Source organism: Homo sapiens, chromosome 2 (assembly GCF_000001405.40).
Source record: "Homo sapiens chromosome 2, GRCh38.p14 Primary Assembly".
Classification (NCBI taxonomy): Eukaryota; Metazoa; Chordata; class Mammalia; order Primates; family Hominidae; genus Homo; species Homo sapiens.
This window is the reverse complement of record NC_000002.12, coordinates 213,752,639-213,772,297: the sequence shown is the minus strand read 5'-3', so window position 1 is coordinate 213,772,297 and position 19,659 is coordinate 213,752,639. Positions and strand designations below refer to the sequence as shown.

The 19,659-nt window shown below is 35.6% G+C and overlaps 1 protein-coding gene and 1 non-coding gene across 18 annotated transcripts in view, besides 2 other annotated features; both read right to left on the bottom strand.

Annotated features, from left to right (window-relative positions):
- Positions 1–19,659, bottom strand: part of SPAG16 (sperm associated antigen 16) — a 1,126,038-nt gene that overhangs the window by 638,204 nt on the left and 468,175 nt on the right. The gene's annotated exons all lie outside the window — the stretch shown is intronic.
- Positions 5,544–5,713: an enhancer, noted in NCBI's record as "active region_17069". NCBI's record gives its function as "activates an Ori minimal core promoter by ATAC-STARR-seq in GM12878 lymphoblastoid cells {active_cell/tissue: GM12878}" and the evidence as "EXISTENCE:reporter gene assay evidence [ECO:0000049][PMID:35858748]".
- Positions 5,884–5,933: an enhancer, noted in NCBI's record as "active region_17068". NCBI's record gives its function as "activates an Ori minimal core promoter by ATAC-STARR-seq in GM12878 lymphoblastoid cells {active_cell/tissue: GM12878}" and the evidence as "EXISTENCE:reporter gene assay evidence [ECO:0000049][PMID:35858748]".
- Positions 14,139–14,231, bottom strand: MIR4438 (microRNA 4438). Its single transcript, NR_039640.1, has one exon. It is a non-coding gene; the product is annotated as a microRNA 4438 (primary transcript).

Here is a 19,659-nt window from a genome sequence, read left to right as displayed (position 1 = left end):
GGTACAAAATCAATGTGCAAAAATCATAAGCTTTCCTCTACACCAACAATAGACAAGCAGAGAGCCAAATCATGAATTAACTCCCATTCACAATTGCTACAAAGAGAATAAAATACCTAGGAATACAGATAACAAGGAAAGTGAAGGACCTCTTCAATGAGAACTACAAACCACTGCTCAAGGAAATAAGAGGACACAAATGGAAAAACATTCCATGCTCAGACAGGAAGAATCAATGTTTTGAAAATGGCCAAAGTGCCCAAAGTAATTTATAGATTCAATGCTATTCCCATTAAACTACCATTGACATTCTTCACAGAATTAGAAAAAAAATACTTTAAAACTCATATGAAACAAAAAAAGAGCCTGTATATCCAAGATAATCCTAAGCAAAAAGAACAAAGCTGGAGGCATTATGCTACCTGACTTCAAACTATATTACAAGGCTACAGTAACCAAACAGCATGGTACTGGTACCAAAACTGACACATAATTCAAAGGAACAGAATAGAGATCTCAGAAATAAGACTGCACGTCTATGATCATCTGATCTTCAACAAACCTGATGAAAACAAGCAATGGGGAAAGGATTCCCTATTTAATAAATGGTGGAAAAACTGACTAGCCATATACAGAAAATTGAAACTGGACCCCTTCTTTACACCACACATAAAAATTAATTCAAGATGGATTAAAGACTTAAATGTAAAACCCAAAACTATAAAAACCCTAGAAGAAAATCTAGGCAATACCTTTCAGGATATAGGCATGGGCAAAGATTTTATGATGAAAACACCAGAAGCAATTGCAACAAAAGCAAAAATTGACAAATGGGATCTAATTAAAAAAAAGAGTTTCTGCACAGCAAAAGAAACCATCATCAGAGTGAACAGACAACCTACAGAATAGGAGAAAGTTTTTGTGATCTAACCATTTGATAAATGTCTAATATCCAGAATCTACAAGGAACTTAAACAAATTTACAAGGAAAAAAACATTAAAAAGTGGACAAAGGACATGAATAGACACTTTTCAAAAGAAGACATTCATGCATCCAGCAAACATACGAAAAAAAACTCAGCATCATTGATCATTAGAGAAATGTAAAACAAAACAACAATTAGATACCATTTCATGTCAGTCAGAATGGTGATAATTAAAAAGTCAAAAACATCAGATCCTGGTGAAGCTGTGGAGAAATAGGAACACTTTTACTTTTGGAGGGAATGTAAATTAGTTCAACCATTATGGAAGACAGAGTGGTGATTCCTCATAGACCTAGAACCAGAAAAACCATTTGACCCAGCAATCCCATTACAGAGTATATACCCAAAGGAATATAAATCATTCTATTATAAAGACACTTGCACGCATGTGTTCACTGCAGCACTATTCAAAATAGCAAACACAGGGAATCAACCAAATGCCCATCAATGATAGACTGGATAAAGAAAATGTGGTACATATACACTATGGAATACTATGAAGCCATAAAAAGGAACTAGATCATGTCTGTTGCAGGGACATGGATGGAGCTTGAAGGTATTATCCCTCAGCAAACTAACACAGGAACAGAAGACCAAACACCACATCTTCTCACTTATAAGTGGGAGCTGAACAGTGAGAACACATGAACACAAGGAGATGAATAACACACACTGGGGCCTGTCAAGGGGGTGTTAGGGGAAGCATATTATCAGGATAAAGAGTTAATGCATATGGGGCTTAATACCTATGTGATGGATTGATAGGTGCAGCAAACCACCATGGGACATGTTTCCCCATGTAACAAACCTGCATGTCCTGCATATGTACCCTGGAACTTAAAATTAAATTAAATTTAAAAATATATAATCTGATCCTAAAATTACAGTGTTGAGAAGATGAAAATGAAAAGGCATGCTGATGAGAGCAAAAAATTATACAACTTAGAAAACAATGCTTCTTAATTTCTTAAAACGTTAAACATGCACCTATCATGATGCCTAGCAATTCCACTTCTAGGTATTTATCCAATAAAAATGACATATCCGTAAAAACAAAAAAATAAGAAAAAAATAAATCATCACAAAACCTTGTACAAGAAAGTTTATAGCACTTTCATTCCTAATAGCCCCAAGCTGGAAATAAACAACCAGGTGCCTATTAATACACATATATAAATAAACTGTGATATATTCATATATTGAAATAAAACTCAGTAAAATAAATACACAGAGCATTGATATAAGCAACAACATGGACAAATCTTCAAATCTTCATGCTGAGTTAAAGAAGCCAGGGACAAAACAGTACATATTGTGTGCTTCTATTTATATGAAGTTTTAGAACCTGCAAAATTAATCTATGGTAGTAAAAATCAGATGCTGGTTGCTTCAGGGTGCAGTGGCTTATTGGGCACACTTTGTGAGTTGATAGCAATGTTCCATGTCTTGATAGGGGTTTGATGGGTATATGAATTTGTTAAAGATGATCAAACTGTATATGGGTATATGAATTTGTCAAAGATGATCAAACTGTACACGTCTGTGCATTTTGTTGTATTGTGTATCAGTCAAAATTTTTTAGCAGAAGCAATAGAAATTGAATTTTAATTAAACAGAAAGAGACATATTTAAAAGATATTAGGTAGTGAGCAATTTCCAGGGATCCTGCAAAGCCAGGCTGGGGAAATCAGCAGGAATCAAGAGAATTTATAAAAATCAGAACTATGTTCAAAAGCATGCCAGGTAACTAGTAGATGAGGATTCCTCTGCCCTTGTTTCTGATACTGGTACTGAGAAGCACGTGCCACAGCTTGGACTTCTGACTCTGGTATACCACCTAATCTGATAACGCTGTCACCAATGCCACTGCCAGAAAAGATATGCTGTTGGCACTACTTCTTTATACCAACTGTCAATTCAAAGTCTGAGTAAGGCTGTCTTCAAGTCCATATTCTACCGCAAATGAACTAAGGATGTACTACCTTCAACTTCTATGGAAATTTTCACTATACTAGAAAGAGATCTCTACAACTCACTGATATATAAAAGGAGGAGAAATTCCTCAAGATAGAATTGGTAATATAAAATTAATAAATGTATCCCCAAACATTTAACTTAGAGTTGACTTTATCCACCCCAATTCCTCATTCAACTCATGTTTGGATTTAATCCAAGCATGTTAGTGAAAGTGCTCTTGCCTAGGCTACCAATACTTCTTTAATGCTAAGTGAACTAGTTTCTTTCCCATCCTTTTCCTACCTGACCTCACCCTTTTTATAATATCATCAACTAATTCTTTCTCATAACCAACCATCTCTTTCCTGGGATTTCCTGACACTACTTTTCTGGTTTCCCTCTTACCTCTCAGACCTTTTCTTATGGATTCTCTATGTTATAGCCTTCTCCTGACTTACCCCCTTCTCTTTTCTAAAGTTTTTGTGTTCAGATGGGCATTGTTCTAGGCATTCCTCTCTGATACATACTTGTCCAGCATGGCCACATCTATTGACATACATTTCTTATGCCTTATAGGCTGATGATTTACAAATTTATAGCCACAACTCAGATCTTTCTCCTGAGCCACACACCCAGATATGTGATTGGATATTTCCATTTGGATTTCTCACAAACATTGCAAATTCAACATATTCGAAATTTATTTTCATCATCTGAGACCTATTATTTTCCCTTTGTTCCATTTTGGAACAAATGGTATCATTTTCCAACTAGTTGTCCAAATTCAAAATTTAGATCTCTTTCCACACCTTCCATACCCAGTCACCTGTCCTCGTAAATATTAAATTCTAAAGATTTACTTGTATTCATATATAGTGCTGTCTTGTGAAGTCTACTAGTCTAAGTTAGAACTCTACAATATTGCCTGAATTCACAACAGAGCTTTCAGAGTAACTTTTCTGTCTACACTCTTGCTCATCTGCAATCCACTCTTGGCACTGGTGTTAGAAAGGCTCATTATGAAATGTAAATTTGATTATGTCATTGCCCTGTTTAGTGACAAATTTTTCCTATAATATAGCTTAGAAAGCCTGCCTTTATTGCATTCTTATCTCTTTTTTCTAGCTCCTGCTTTCATCAGTCCTTTACCCCCAATACTTTATGCTCAAACCATATTAAAATCTGTTTAGACCCCAGAGTACACCTTTACCTGTAGGTGTGTGCCCATGTTCTTTCCTCTTCACTAGATACCCTTTCCTTCTTATTGCCTCCTTTTTTATTTTCTTTACATAATTTGGGGATAAGATCTTAAAAAGCAGTCAAACTTACCCACCATTGCCAAACTGAGTTAAGAGCTGTTCCAGTGCAGCACTTTGACACACTGCCATTTCTCTCATCAGAATATTTGTTACACTATACTATAATTGCTTATTTATACATGCCTGCTAGTCTACAAACTCTGAAAGAGTAGACTACATCTTGTCTACTTCTGTACCATTTTATCACTCAAAGCCATCTCAGTGGCAGGCTCATTTGTTGCCCAATAAATGTCACATTAATTTGAACTACATTAATTTTAAGTTATTCCAGTGGAGAAAGTAGGCAAAACATCAAAAATAGCTTAAAACTTCTGCCTTTAGTAACCTAAAGGATTCATAAATTCTTATATCTGATTTTGTGTGTGTGTGTGTGTGTGTGTGAAGTATGTTGTTCTCTTTTTTTTTCAAAAAGACAAGATCTCACTCCATTGCCCAGGCTGCAGCATAGTAATGTAATCAGAGGTCCCTGCAGCCTCCACCTCCCAGGCTCAAGCGACCTCTCAACCGCCTGGCTAATTTATTTTTATTTTTTGTAAGGATGGGGACTCACTATGTTGCCTAGGTTGACCTGGAACTCCTGGGCTCAAGTGATCCTCTCATTTCAGCTTCCCAAAGTGCTAGGATTACAGGTGTGAGCCACTGCACCCAGCCTTAATTTACTTTCTAATATTCCTACCTACACTACTGATTTTCATTCCTTACTCTAAAAGGGAGAGCATTTATTACATGATACCCTACTGCGTGGTATGGGTATGTATTAAATATTCAGTGATAATTATATGATAGAAAATTAATACTTGGATAATAGAACATATAATGCGTGTTAAGACAACTTAAATCATTGATGGTAAAGACAAGCCCAACAATGTATGAATTAATTTCCCACCTGGAAGATAACGAAGAGAACCTTTTCCTTTGAAGAATGACATGATGACCTACATGGTAATCCAATCAGTGAATGTAAGGGATGATAAACGTATGCCTGGCTATGTCCACAAAAACAACTGGTGATATGGAGATTGAGGAGTCTGGCTCCTGACTGAAAACCTATCCATGATTTTTCAGGCCTGACCATGGGTAATTCCTAAGGTTTTACCCGGCAGGCCTCGCAGGAGAAAGCTACCCTCTCCAACCCAGACTTTGTGCTCAGGTAATAAATCACAGTGTTGAAAGGAAGCTGCAGGCCAGAATTCAGTCCTCTCTAGCTAGCTATTCTCTTTGCATATTTGCATACCTAGCCCATGTGTCTCTGCTGAGACCTCCTCACTGTGAAGTGTGGCACATCTCGAAGACACTTTTCACCACTCTGACTCAGTAGCCTGTACTTCACTTTTCCATTCCTAGCCTCTTCTGCTCCCCATCCCTAATCTAAGGCTCATAAAACTACTAGAGCCTTTTTGTTTGGTGCTTTCTCGACACTGAGACCACCCCCATATCTGAGCTGTCAGAGATTTCTCTGGTTTGAATCATGCTTACAGCATAGCAGTAAGTGATTAAAGGCTTAACTTTCATTTTCGACTTGTGGCTTTCATCAGCTCCCTGACACCTGAAAGTTCAGCTCTTTTTTAATTTCAGCTGAGCTGCTGACAGAGATCACTGCATAGAGCTCCCAACCTGTGACTAGATGTATTTTTATTAAGATATAATTTAATAAATTCACCATTTAAAAGTGTACAATTCATGTTTTATAGTAGAGTCACAAGGTTGTACAACCATGACCACTATCTAACTCCAGAACATTGTTGTCACCTAAGAAAGAAACCTGTATTCTCAACAGTCACTCCCTTTCTCCTGTTCTTTACCTGAGGGTAACCACTAAACTACTTTCTATTTCTATGCACTTTCTGGTTTTGGAGATTTCAAGTAAATGGAATCATACAATACATGGCATTTTATAAAAGTCCATGTGGAAGCCAGTTTCTTATTTAGAGCCTTGAATACGGAATTCCCAAGACACAGTGTATTCTTCCATAAGACTGAAATGTAGCGTTAAAGCCACGAAGCTCTCAGTATATGAAACAGAAGTCCTCCTATACCTTTCAGTCCAAGGTCAGTTCCAGGTCAATGTTACATTCATTCTTGTTTGACTCTGGCCTGTTCTCGTTTACTGAGGAACCGGGATCTGGATCTGTTTCCCTAATCCTATTGTCCTAAACCTATCTACATAGCTGCTTAAGTTTGTTCTATCTCCTAAACATTTCCAACTACAAAAGCATCAACTTCCAGCACAACCATACCTCTGTCATTACCAAAAACAGAACCCCCCTAGTACTTCAGTGTTAGGAACAAAGCAATTAATTGAAAGTTAATGTGATTCCTATAAATGTCTTAATTTTAAAAGAAGCATATTTTTAAAACAAGGTTGGAGGAAGAAGAATGAGTATATACTGGAAGAATTTGAGATAGAAGAAACAAGTAAATAACACACACACACACACACACGTGACATTGTGAATGAATAAATGTAAGGAATGTAAGAATGCAGACAGAAAAAGGTAAGTGGATTCCCTAACTGGGAATATACACATATAGACTCAAGAGGACATAGAAGGCATTCCATAATTGGGAATCTGCTTGCTTTTTCTATCTCCATTCTTCTAAGCCTGATGAAAAAATAAATCACTGAAATTTCTGTTTTAATCTTTTTTTGTTTTGTTTTGATTTGTTTTGAGACAGAGTCTCACTCTGTCACCAGGCTGGAGTGCAGTGGTGTGATCTCGGCTCACTGCAACCTCCGACTCCCGGGTTCAAGCAATTCGCCTGCCTCAGTCTCCCGAGTAGCTGGGATTACAGACATGCACCACCACGCCCAGCTAATTTTTGTATTTTTAGTATAGACGTGGTTTCACCGTGTTGGCCAGGATGGTCTCGGTCTCCTGACCTTGTGATCCGCCCGCCTCGGGCACTTCCCAAAGTGCTGGGATTACAGGCATGAGCCATCGTGCCCGGCCTCTGTTTTAATGTTAATTTTTGTATTTTGTTGACCTTGTTGTTTATTTTCCATGTGATTCAGTGGCCGGAAGTGGAAAAGGCCTGCAATGATGAGAAAGGCACATTTCATGTGACAGAAGAGCACTGACTCTTGCTTGAGTCAAGCATTTATAATTGACATGATGTGCTTTCAGACTTTTATGCATAAAATATCCTTCTCATAATGAGCATTCTTTGAGAAACAAAGTGTTAAAATGTAATAATTATAAATGATTTCAAGATGGCAATGAATTATAATATTGAATATATTACATACTTCATATAATTAAAATATCACTTATAACTTAATATTTTATAGTTTCATAATCTTTTCCATATTCTTTTCATTAATATTAGCTTTTGGGGAATAATATCATGTTCTCTCAGTAGTAGTAAATATTTTGCTTTGATTCAAGATAGTAACACCAGAACTGAATTCGGAGAAAAGCCAGCCAGAAAAATGAAACAATTTAGCTATATAAATAAAAGAAGTTCCTAGAAGTTATTTCTTTTCTAGATTCTCTATTTTTCAGAGAGTTTAAAAAAAATATGTGGAATACAATATATCATCTACTACGTTGCAAAATGTAAGTCCAAGGACACTATATCTAGTTCACTGCCTATTTATTGTCTTTTGTAGTTTATTCTCATCCAGCAACTGACAATTTTAATTTACTCAGGTTTTTTTTTTCCCCCTGAATGTTCCTAATGTCACCCATGCTGATAAAGCACTGCAAAGTAGTATGGGGAACAAAACAAATGAAAAAAGAAAAAAAATTCCAAGCATTCATTTGGGTTCTACCTCAAAAACTGAAAGAAAATTACTCCTAAAAGGCAAAGTGGTGGAGAAATGAAGAAAAAGAGAAAAAAAAACTTAGTCATCATTTTAAAATCTCGTTTACATAGTCAGCATTTTTCTAAATCACCATCTTTCTGAATAACTTAATTAACTCACAAGATATCTAACTAATATTTGTGTAACACTTAGGAGCAATAGTCCTGAGTCTTTGAGGGTATCTTAGAGATTCACTTGTGACTCTGAAAAGAGAGAGCTATGGAAATGAATCCACACCCACCCTTCACATTTGTGTTTTATTTTAGTTGGTTCACACACCTCCTGAAGCCCAACTGTGCAAACCTCGCTCATTAGTCCTTCTCATATTAAAAGCTGCTGCTTCAAAGTTTATTTCATTTGCTTCTCACAATAGTCCTAAAATAGTCAATGAGCTTAAGTAACTTGTGCCAGGTAAAATAGTTCATAAGGATGAGAGCAAGACGGTCATCCAGATCTTGGCATCATGAGTGCAACGAACGGTCTTTCCACAATATCATATTGCATCACAGCTGATATTCTATTCCAAACTTCCAGTTCATTTTTCTTTTCCTTTTTATCGTGGTAAAAAAAAAATGAGATCCACCCTTTAAAATTTTTAAGCACACAGTATAGTATTGTTAACTATATGCACATTGTTGTAAAGCAAATACCTAGAACTTTTTAATGTTGCATAACTGAAACTCTACACCAATTGAACAGCAACTCTCCCCAGCCTCTGAAAACCACTATTCAAGTTTCTGCTTCTATGAGTTTGACTACTTGAATACCTAATATAAGTGAGATCATGCAGTATTTTTCTTTCTATAACTGGTTTATTTCACTTAACATAATGCCCTTAAGGTTCATCCACATTGTATCATTGTAATTTTTAGCTATTATAAATAATACTGCAATGAACATAGGAATACAAATATCTCTTCAATATCCTAATTTCAATTCTTAGTGCTAAATACCCAGAAGTGGGACTGCTGGATCAGATGATAGTTCTGTTTTTGATTTTTTTGAGGAACCTCCAAACAGTTTTCCATTGAGGCTACACTATTTTACATTCACACTAACACAACTCAAGGATTCAGATTTCTCTATATCCTTACAATTTTTATTTTCTGTTATTTTGATAACAGCCATCCTAACATGTGTGAGGTGATATATTTTGTGGTTTTGACTTGCATTTCTCTGGTGATTAGTGATGGTGAGCACCTTTACATACACCTGTTGAACATTTTTATGTCTTTGGAGAAATGTCTAGTCAAGTTCTTTGCCCATTTTTAAATAAGGTTATTTGGTTTTTTTAACTATTGAGTTGTAGGAGTTCTTTCCATATTTTAAAGATTGACCCCTTATAAGATTTGCAACTTGCAAATACTTTCCCCCATTCCGTGGACTGCATTTTCACTCTGTTGGATTGCTTCCTTTGTTGTACAGAAGCTTTTTAGTTTGGTGTAGTTCGACTTATTATCTCTGCCTTTGTTGCCTACGCTTTTGGTGCCTTATCCAAGCAATCATTGCCAAGACAAATGTTATAAAATTTTCCCCTAAGTTTTCTTAAATAGGATTTATAGTTTCAGGTCTTTGTTAAAATTTTTAGTACTGTTTATTTTTGTGTATGGTGCAAGGTAAGGGTTCAATTTCATTCTTTTACATGAGGGTAACCAGTTTTTCCAAATTCATTTGTTGAAACAACTATTATTTCTCCATTGTGTGTTCTTAGCCCCCTTGTTGAAGATAATTTGATTGCATATGTGTGGGTTTATTTCTAGGTTCTGTTTTCTGTTTCATTGGTTTATATAGCTGTCTTTATTCTAGTACCATACTGTTTGTTTTTTGTTGTTTTCTCCATTTTTTATCGTGGTAAAATGAACATAACATATAATTTATCAGCCTATTTTAAGTGTACAGTTCAGTGCTATTAAATGTGTTCATAATGTTGTACAACCACATTACCATTATTCATCTCCATCACTCTTTTTATTTTATAAACTGAAACTCTATTCCCCTTAAACAGTAACTCCTCATTCTCCCTTCCTCCCAGTCCCTGGAAGCCACTGGTCTACCTTTTGGCTTTACAGTTTTGACTACTCTAAGCATTTTGTCAAATACTTTTTCTTCTGCAATTGAGATAATCATGTGTGTTTTTTCTTCTTTGTTCTCTTAATGTGGTGTATTTCATTGATCGACTTTGCTATGTTGAGTCACCCTTGCATTCCAAGAAGAAATCCCACTTGATTGTGGCTTATCATACATTAATATGTTGCAGAATTCTGTTTTCTAGTATTTTTTGAGCATTTTTGCCTCAATATTCGTAAGAGATATTGGTCTGTAGGGTTTTTTTTTGTTTTGTTTTTTTGTTTTTATTTTTGTTTTTTGACACGGAATCTCACTCTGTCACCCAGGCTGGAATGCAGTGGCACGATCTCGGCTCACTGCAACCTCTGCCTCCCGGGTTCATGCCATTCTCCTGCCTCAGCCTCCTGAGTAACTGGGACTACAGGCGCCCGCCACCACGCCCAGCTAATTTTTTGTTTTTGTAGTTTTAGTACAGATGGGGTTTCACCATGTTAGCCAGGATGATCTCATCTCCTGATCTCGTGATCCACCTGCCTCAGCCTCCCAAAGTGCTGAGATTACAGGCGTGAGCCACCGTGCCCAGCCTGAATGTCCCTTTTTCTATTTCTGACTTTGTTACTTGAATCTTTTCTCTCATTTTTTATTAGTTTATTTAGCTAAAGTTTTGTAAATTTTGTTCATCTTTTTAAAGAACCAAGTCTTGGGTTCATTGGTTTATTCTGTTGTTTTTCTATTCACTATCTTGTTTATCTCTGGTCGAATTTTTATTATTTCCTTTCTTGTGCTAGCTTTAGGTTTAATTTGTTATTTTTCTAGTTCCATACATTGTAAAGCTAGGTTGTTGACTTGAGATCTTTAAGAACTTATAGCTATAAATTTCCCCCTTAGCACTGTTTCCTCATCCCATATGTTTTGATATATTGTTTTCATTTTCCTTCATCTCCAAGTATTTTCGAATTTCCCTTACAATTTCTCTTTGATAACGTTCATTGTTTAAGAGTGTATTGTTTAAATTCCAAAGTTTTGTAACTTTTTCTGGTTTTATTTATATTGATTTCTAACTTCATCCTTGCTATGGTTTGAATATGTCCCCCTAAAATTCATATGTTGAAAACTTAATCTCCAATGCAACAGTGTTAGGAGATGGAGCCAAATAAGGGGTGAGTGGGTCATACAGGCAGAGTCCTCCCATAAATCCTGCCATAAGGACTAAAACTACTACTGTCATTATTGAAGTAGCGGGGTAGTTATAAACAAGTTCAGCCCCTGATGTCTGTCTCTTTCTCTGTTTCTTGCCATCTAATGCCTTCTGCCATAGGATGTCCCTTGCCAAATGTTGGCACCATGCTTCTGGATTCCTCATCCTCCAAAACTGTGAGGAAAAAACATTTTTATATAAATTATCCAGTGTGTGGCATTTTGTTATAACAGCAAAAAATGAACTAAGACAATCTTCTTAGGATCAGAGAAGATACTTTCTATAACTATCTTTTCAATCTAATGAGACTTAATTTATGAAGTAACATATAGTCTATTTTGGAAAATGTACCATGTACACTTGAGAAGAATGTGTACGCTGTTGTTGCACAGAGTTAGGTCTAATTGTTTTTTTTTTAATGTATTGCATTTTCTTATTTATCTTTGTTTTTTTTTTCTAGCCATTATTGAGAGTGATTTATTCATCTTCAACTATTACTGTGGAACTGTGTATCATTCCCTTCCATTATGTAAGTTATTTCTTCATATAATTTAGTGATCTGTTACTAGGTTCATAAATGTTTATACTTGTTATAACTTCTTACTGTATTAAACCTTTTATTAATATAGAATGTCCTTCTTTGCCTTTTGTAAACTTTTTGATTAAAGTCTATTTTGTCTGTTCTCAGTATAGCTACCCTGCTCTTGTTTGGTTATTTGCCTGAGAAATCTTTTTCTGTCCCTCTACCTTCAATCTATTTGCATCTTTGGATCTAAAATGAGTCTCTTGTACACACATAGATCTTTTTTAAAAAAATCTATTTTGCCAGTCTTTTGATTAGCTCATTTAATCAATTTATAAGTAATTTCTGAAAAGAAGGAAGCTACTTCTGTCATTTTACTATTTTTGAATTCTTTTTTTTTTCTTTTTTTGAGACAGAGTCTTGCTTTGTCACCCAGGATGGAGTGCCATGGCACAATCTTGGATCACTGCAGCCTCCGCCTCCTGGGTTCAAGTGATTCTCCTCCCTCAGCCTCATGAGTATCTGGGACTATAGGCATGTGCCACCACACCTAGCTATTTTTTGTATTTTTAGTAGAGACAGGGTTTCACCATGTTGGCCAGGATGGTTTCGATCTCCTGACTTCATGATCCACCCACCTCGGCCTCCCAAAGCGCAGGGATTGCAGGTGTGAGCCACTGCGCCCAGCCACTATTTGAATTCGTTATAGCTTATAGATGTTTCCCTACATTTCCTGCATTACTATCTTTTATATTTAGTTGTCTATTTTATTTTCTTTAGTGATTTGCTTAAATTTCTTTCTCATTTCCTTGTATATAGCTATTTTCTTGGTGGTTACCATAGGGATTATATTTTAGATCCTGCATATATAACATTCTAATTTAAATTTGTACCACCATAACTGCAATAATATATAAAAACTCGGCTCCTTCAAAAGCTCCATTCCCCCACCCTCTCAATTTTTGATGTCACAAAATTATATCTTTATGTATTATACAAAAATATAAACATGTAAGTATTTTAAATTCATTAGTCTCTTAAATTATGTACAAAACAAAATTGGAGTTACAAAGCATAATATGAACTTTTATACAAATTTAAATATATATATATTAACCTCTTAAAGCATGTAGAACACGAAAAGTGCAGTTAAAAAGTATTGTTACAATAATATAAGCTTTTATAATTTTCTATGTATTTTCCTTTATTAAGATCTTTATTTCTTTACACAACTTCAAGTTACTGTCTAGTGTCTTCTCATTTCACTCTGCAGGAGGATTTCTTGCAAGTCAGGTCCAATGGTAACAAGCTCTCCCAACTGTTGTTTTCCTGGGGATGTCTTAATTTCGCCCTCACTTTAAGGACAGTTTGGCTGGATATAAGATTCTTGTTTGATAATGTTTTCTGTTTTTGTTTTTCTTTAGCACTTCGAATGTCAGCCCACTGCCTTCTGGCCTGCAACGTTTCTGGTGAGAAATATACTGATAATCTTACTGATTATTCCTTATAAGTAATATATTGATGTTTTTCTGCTGCTTTTAAGATTCTATCTTTGTCTCCACCTTTTAAAGCTTTGATTATAATGTATTTCAGTTTATGTCTTTTTGAGTTCATCTTCCTTGAATTCTGTTGGATTTCTTGAATGTTTATATTAATGTCTTTTATCAGATTTGGAAAGGTTCTATCCGTTGTTTCTTCAAGTTTTCTCTTCTCTTTCTCCTCTCCTCCTGTGACTCCTTGATTGTGTCACACAGGTCCCTTAGACTCTGTTTACTTTTTTCAATTCTTTTTCCTTCTGTTCCTTGATTTCCATTGTCCTATCTTCAAGTTTACTGACTGTTTCCTTTGCTTGCTCAAATCTTCCTTTGAATCGCTCTAGTAAATTTTTTATTTAAGTTGTTGTACTTTTCAGCTCCCAATTTTTTTTAACTTCTTGTGAGGTTTCCTATCCATTGAATTTTTTTCATTTTGTTCATATATCATTTTCTTGACTTTCTCTATATCTTCCTGTAGTTCTTTGATCATTTAACACAATTATTTTAAAGTCCCTCTGTAGCAGATCCACCATCAAGTCATTTTAGGGATTTCATATTTTCCTTTGGACAAGACATAGTTTCTTAATTTTTTGTATGAATTGTGATTTTGGATCTAATAACATAGTAACTCTAAAAATTAGATTCTCCCTCTTACTGAGAGTTTGCGGTTACTTCAGTCAATGATTTTGCTTTTTATATTGTCATAAGAGGATTCTGTTGTAGGCTATCTCTGTGCCAAGAATCAGTCTGAAGTGTAAACTTAAAGACTGTCTTTTCTAAGCCTGTGCCAAAGGAAAGGCAAGGCACAGGCTTAGAAAAGACAGTCCTTAAGTTTACACTTAGTAACTTAGTCATTTTCTGATTGTCACCATATGTGCAGTTACTTTGAATGCCCTACTTTTTAATGTCTAGCTGTCAAAGGGGGAAAAACAGAAAAATAAAGTAGGAGAAGGGCACTGGCCCTTTTAATCTTCTGGAAGTCACTTCAGCCAGCAGGGAGGGGCTTGCAATAATGGATAGAGGTGCAACAATAACCACTCACCTCTTTGCGTCCATCTTTGTGACCAGAAACAGCAATCAGCAATCAGAGCAAAGATTGCCGATATTTGGATGACAGGTCCTTTTTTTGCCCACTCTGGTTCCTGCATGCTCTGTGCAGACTGCTCCAGTAACATGTGCACAGCTGCCTGCTACAGGGGTGACTGTGGGAAATGGGTAGCTACTACTGTGGTTAAGTGCTGAAATTGACTGAAATTAATCATAATTCGCCATGCAAGCTTTCCCCTAGAAGTTGCAAGCCTTTAGTAGATGTCAAAAATCCAAAATAGTTATATATCAGACAGATTCTGCCAGTACAATTGTTCTCTAGGTGGGAAGACAGATTCCTGGTGCTTCCTACTCCACCATATTTCTATAACTATTTCTCCATAATGTTTTAACTACTGTAATTTTGTAATATCCTTTGAAGTCAGGAAGTGCAGGACCTCCAGCTTGTTCTTTAGATTGTTTGGGCTCTTTTTGGTTCTCTGCGGTTGCATATGAATTTTAGAATTGCTTTTTCTATTTCAGAAAAAAAAAACAGCTATGGGTATTTTGATATGGATGGTATTTAACCTGTGGATAGCTTTAAGTAGTATGGACAACAATATTAAGTCATCTAATTCATGAATATATATGTCTATTTATTACCATCTTTATTTTCTTTAGAAATGTTTGTAGTTTTCAGAGAACAAGTCTTTAGTCTCCTGTTAAGTTTATATTTCTATGTATTTTTGATGCTATTTTAACCCAATTTTTAAAAATTTCCGTTTCAGATTTATGTTAGTATATGAAATCACAACTGATATTTGCATATTGATTTTGTGTCCTGCAACTTTGCTGAATACATTTATTAATTCTAGTAAGCTTTTTTATGTGGAATATTTAGGATTTTTTACATTCCATTTCTTTATTCCCTCTTTGCTCTATAAAGACAACACCATAAGGGTTTCATATGCTAAACATTCAAAAACACTTCTTTAAAAAAGCTATCTACTATCAACTGCCTCAAAGCCATCATTGAGATATTAGCTGAATATAACAGTTATTACATCATTTAATTTCAGTGTCAAAGCTTTACTTTCTTCATATAAAAAAAAACTATTTGAGTGTCTTTTTAAATAAATACACATGCATACCCACACATATCCTAGGCCGTTAAATTTTAATTGGCCTGGTATACATTAGCCATTTAGGGGGTTCCCGCTCCCAGAGATCCCATATTAACATGTTTGGAAAAGTCTGGTATTTGCATCTTTGTAATGCAGTGGCTATAGACAAGCAAAAGTTAAAGTCTACAGCTACAAATCCAAACCTATGGTACACCAAAGATGTATAAGCAAAGGCCTTGCTCAATTAGTCTAAAGATTTATCTGGGCATAGATTTTTATTTTCTGTCACCTAGGCTGGAGTGCAGTGGTGTGATCTCAGCTCACTGCATGCAACCTCTGCCTCCTAGGTTCAAGCAATTCTCCTGCCTCAGCCTTCCGAATAGCTGGGACTACAGGAGGATGCCACCACACCTGGCTAATTTTTATTTATTTATTTATTTTTTTGAGACGGGGTTTTACCACGTTGGCCAGGCTGGTCTTGAACTCCTGACCTCAGGTGATCCACCTGCCTCGGCCTCCCAAAGTGCTAGGATTACATGCATGAGCCATCGTGCCTGGCCCATAGACTTTTTTCTTTTTTTTAACACCTATTGGATTGCTAAAATTACTTATGTTTAAATATTTTAACTCCTCTGTGGAAGGACACTACTTTGATTTGTTATGTTCACTCTGACTGATATCTGAGGCTGGCCTCAGGGGTCTGCAGATCTAGTCCTACTCAGCCATTTAAGTAGCTGCATAATCTTGGGAAGATTTTTAAACTATTTCATTAGATAGGGATTTTCATATATAGGTATATAGATATTGATATATTTAGATGGTTAAATGCAGCCACAGGGACTGCAAATATTCTTTTCTACTATTTTATAATATTTTATCATATATGTCTGAATAATTTGGTCACAGAACTTTATTTTCTTGAGTTATTACAGATTCCTCTCTATTAGTTACATATCTCATGCAGTGCTCTTGGGTATATCTTTCTAATATCTACTAAAGTCCACTGCCTATCATCTTCACTGTGACAGCTATCATCTCAGTCATCATTATCATCAGCTTGAAATTTCTGTTTGCTTTTTAACTTTCTATCTTCTCCATTAGAATCTATGCTCTACAAAAGCAAACCCTGTCCTTGTTACGATTCTATTCCTTGTGCCTAGGACAGTACATGAAACACATTAAAATGAAATGATAAAAAAGAGTAGTTTATCTTTCACAAAAAAAGTGCAATGTATGGCATATTCTCACAAGCAGAATTAAACTTTGTGTTTGAGATGTTTACTTTTTTAGTGGATCACTTATCTATATATTTCAAAGGAGAAATGATGTCTCTACCAGGATTTTATTTTTTTAATAAACAATGTTTTTCATATTCCATTACACAGACACCTATGACTTCACATTTTCTATATAACATGATATCAGTCAAAACTATTTTAAAATACTTAACTTGAATAACCAGAGACAAACATTTAAATTTCAAAGTAGAATCACTATCTTTCACTTATTTCTCTAAACTGTGATGCATGGATTGATAACCCTGGAATAAAACATCTTTTTATTTCAAAGACTTCATAACACCAACATAAAAAAATACACTGAACCTGCAAAATGCACCAAATATTCTTGCCAGTAACATGTCATTATAACATCAAAAACATCGAAATTGAGTATTACTGACACAAAGAGTTTGTTGTTATCATTTGATCCCTATGCCTTTTTGTATATTACATCTCAGTACCTTTTAGACATTTAGAGATTCAATAATGGAAACCTAGAATTACTTAGGAAATAGTAATTACAGGTTTGCAAAGATTAGATTGCAACCTCCAGCAGAAAGCTCAAGTGCCAACAGCATGATATCACTATTCAACTGTTTCTTATAATAAGTTGCCTTCGGAAAGTCAGCAGGTGAAATCAAAATCACATTGCTTAACATGTCTTAAGGCCTCTACAGTTAAATGCAGCTGAGCACACACCAGATGATTTTACTCCAACTAACAGGCTTTCTTGCATTCATCAGGTGAATGAGAAGAAACTAGTCATTGGGCTGTGATACATTAATTTTATTTCATTTTGACTAATGTAAGACTATCGTAGGTTTCATATTTATTTTAAAATATGAAAGTTTAAAATATGAAAGTTTTTTAATATTTATGAAGTTTACAAATTTAGATCTCATAAGCTGTCATATGTTTAATATGTTTCTGCATTGTTTTACATCAATTATGAAGCTACACTGACTAGACATAATCTTTAAGTACTTGTCATGAAAAGCACATTAGACTAAGATGAAGCTAAAATGAGTTTTTATATTTTATTATAACACTCAACTAGTATAGAAAAATAAATAAAAATGAGCAAATCCTCATTTTCCAGCTCCACATCACTGCAAATATAAATGCTTTCAAACTATAAGCACAGTGTTTTCAGGCCTTTGTCCACATTGACAAGAGTAAATTAAGAAAACTAGCCTCAATATTTTGGTAAAGGGTAGTAAGCAAGTGAAATAAAATGCCTCAAATTTGTCTTTCTGTTCTAAACTTAGTATCTGGTATGTCTAAAGATGTGGTTCTCAAATTTTAAGATTCATAAGGATCACTCAGGGAGGTTCACAGAGATTATTGGATTTGATCTGAAGTCTAAGAGTTGGAACAGGCCTAATTATCTTAGTTTTTGACCAGGATTCCAGAGAGTTATAATAGATCACCTTTTGATAAATACTAGGTTAGAATTAACTCTCAAGATATCTCTGTGTCCAGTGAGCTGCAGACTTTGCTTCTAACCTATGTCACGGCTTGCTGAACATGCAACTGGAATTATCCTTTTGTTTCTTGACTGTGATTTATCATTCTTATGAAGGTAGAGCATTTTCCTGATTCCTGATAATCTGGCCATATCTACTCAACCCTTTTTCCTAAGACCACACATGTCTTCATGTTCCTAGTTAGGTCTAAGTCATTCATGCCATCTACAATTGCAGTGATGGTACCAGTCAATCTGCAAGTATCCTCACCTGTCCTGGAAGAACCTGCTGCCATATTACATCCACACTGTACAGTGTTGACTATACTACTATTACTCTCTGTAGTACTAGTCCTAGAGCTATGTGAGGTACCTGATCCTGGGTCCACCTGTTTACAGTTTCCTGCTTCTTCCCTACCTGTAGCTACTGGGACTTCAGCATGCCTGAAAGTATTACATGAAACTAATGTCTTAATCTGAATATACATTCTAAAATTATAGAATAATTACATGACATATAATAATTCATACATATATTAAAATTGCTTTATAAAAGGCCTGGCCTGAGAAATATCTTATAGAACCATAAATAATCTGGTGGTATCCCACAAACAGTTCAGTGATTTCTCAGCAGTGTCAAATTTTCCTATGCACTTATGAGAAAGAAAGTAGTAAGATAAATAGCATAAGATTGAAAAAATAGGCTGGGCGCAGCAGCTCACACGTGTAATCCCAGCACTTTGGGAGGCCGAGGCAGGCGGATCACGAGGTCAGGAAATCAAGACCATCCTGGCTAACAAAGTGAAACCCCATCTCTACTAAAAATACAAAAAATTAGCCGGGCGTGGTGACGGGCACCTGTAGTCCCAGCTACTCGGGAGGCTGAGGCAGGAGAATGGCATGAACCTGGGAGGTGGAGCTTGCAGTGAGCTGAGATCACGCCACTGCACTCCAGCCTGGGTGACAGAGCGAGACTCCGTCTCAAAAAAGAAAAAAATTGAAAAAATAATAACTTTTTGAGTTAGCATAGAATTGACTAATGAACTTCAGTATATATAAATACATGTAAAATATTTAGGGAAAACAATCTATGAACATAAGACGATGGTTTGTAAGCTTTTATTCATTGGCTAGGAAAGGGAACTGGAGTCTCTCTATACTGTTCCCTTATTCTACTGCTAACTGAATAGTCAACAAATTGATAGTCTTCCTAATCTAGGTTTTGGAAACTCCCCCACCACACCGGAAAAGCATTAGCCTATTCATTAATGTGAAGTATAATTAGTTGTGTTTTAGTGTACTGTGTAGCTTTTTGTGCTTCACAAAATACAAAGCAGAGAAAAAGAGTAAGAAGGCAGCAAATACAAAACCAAGG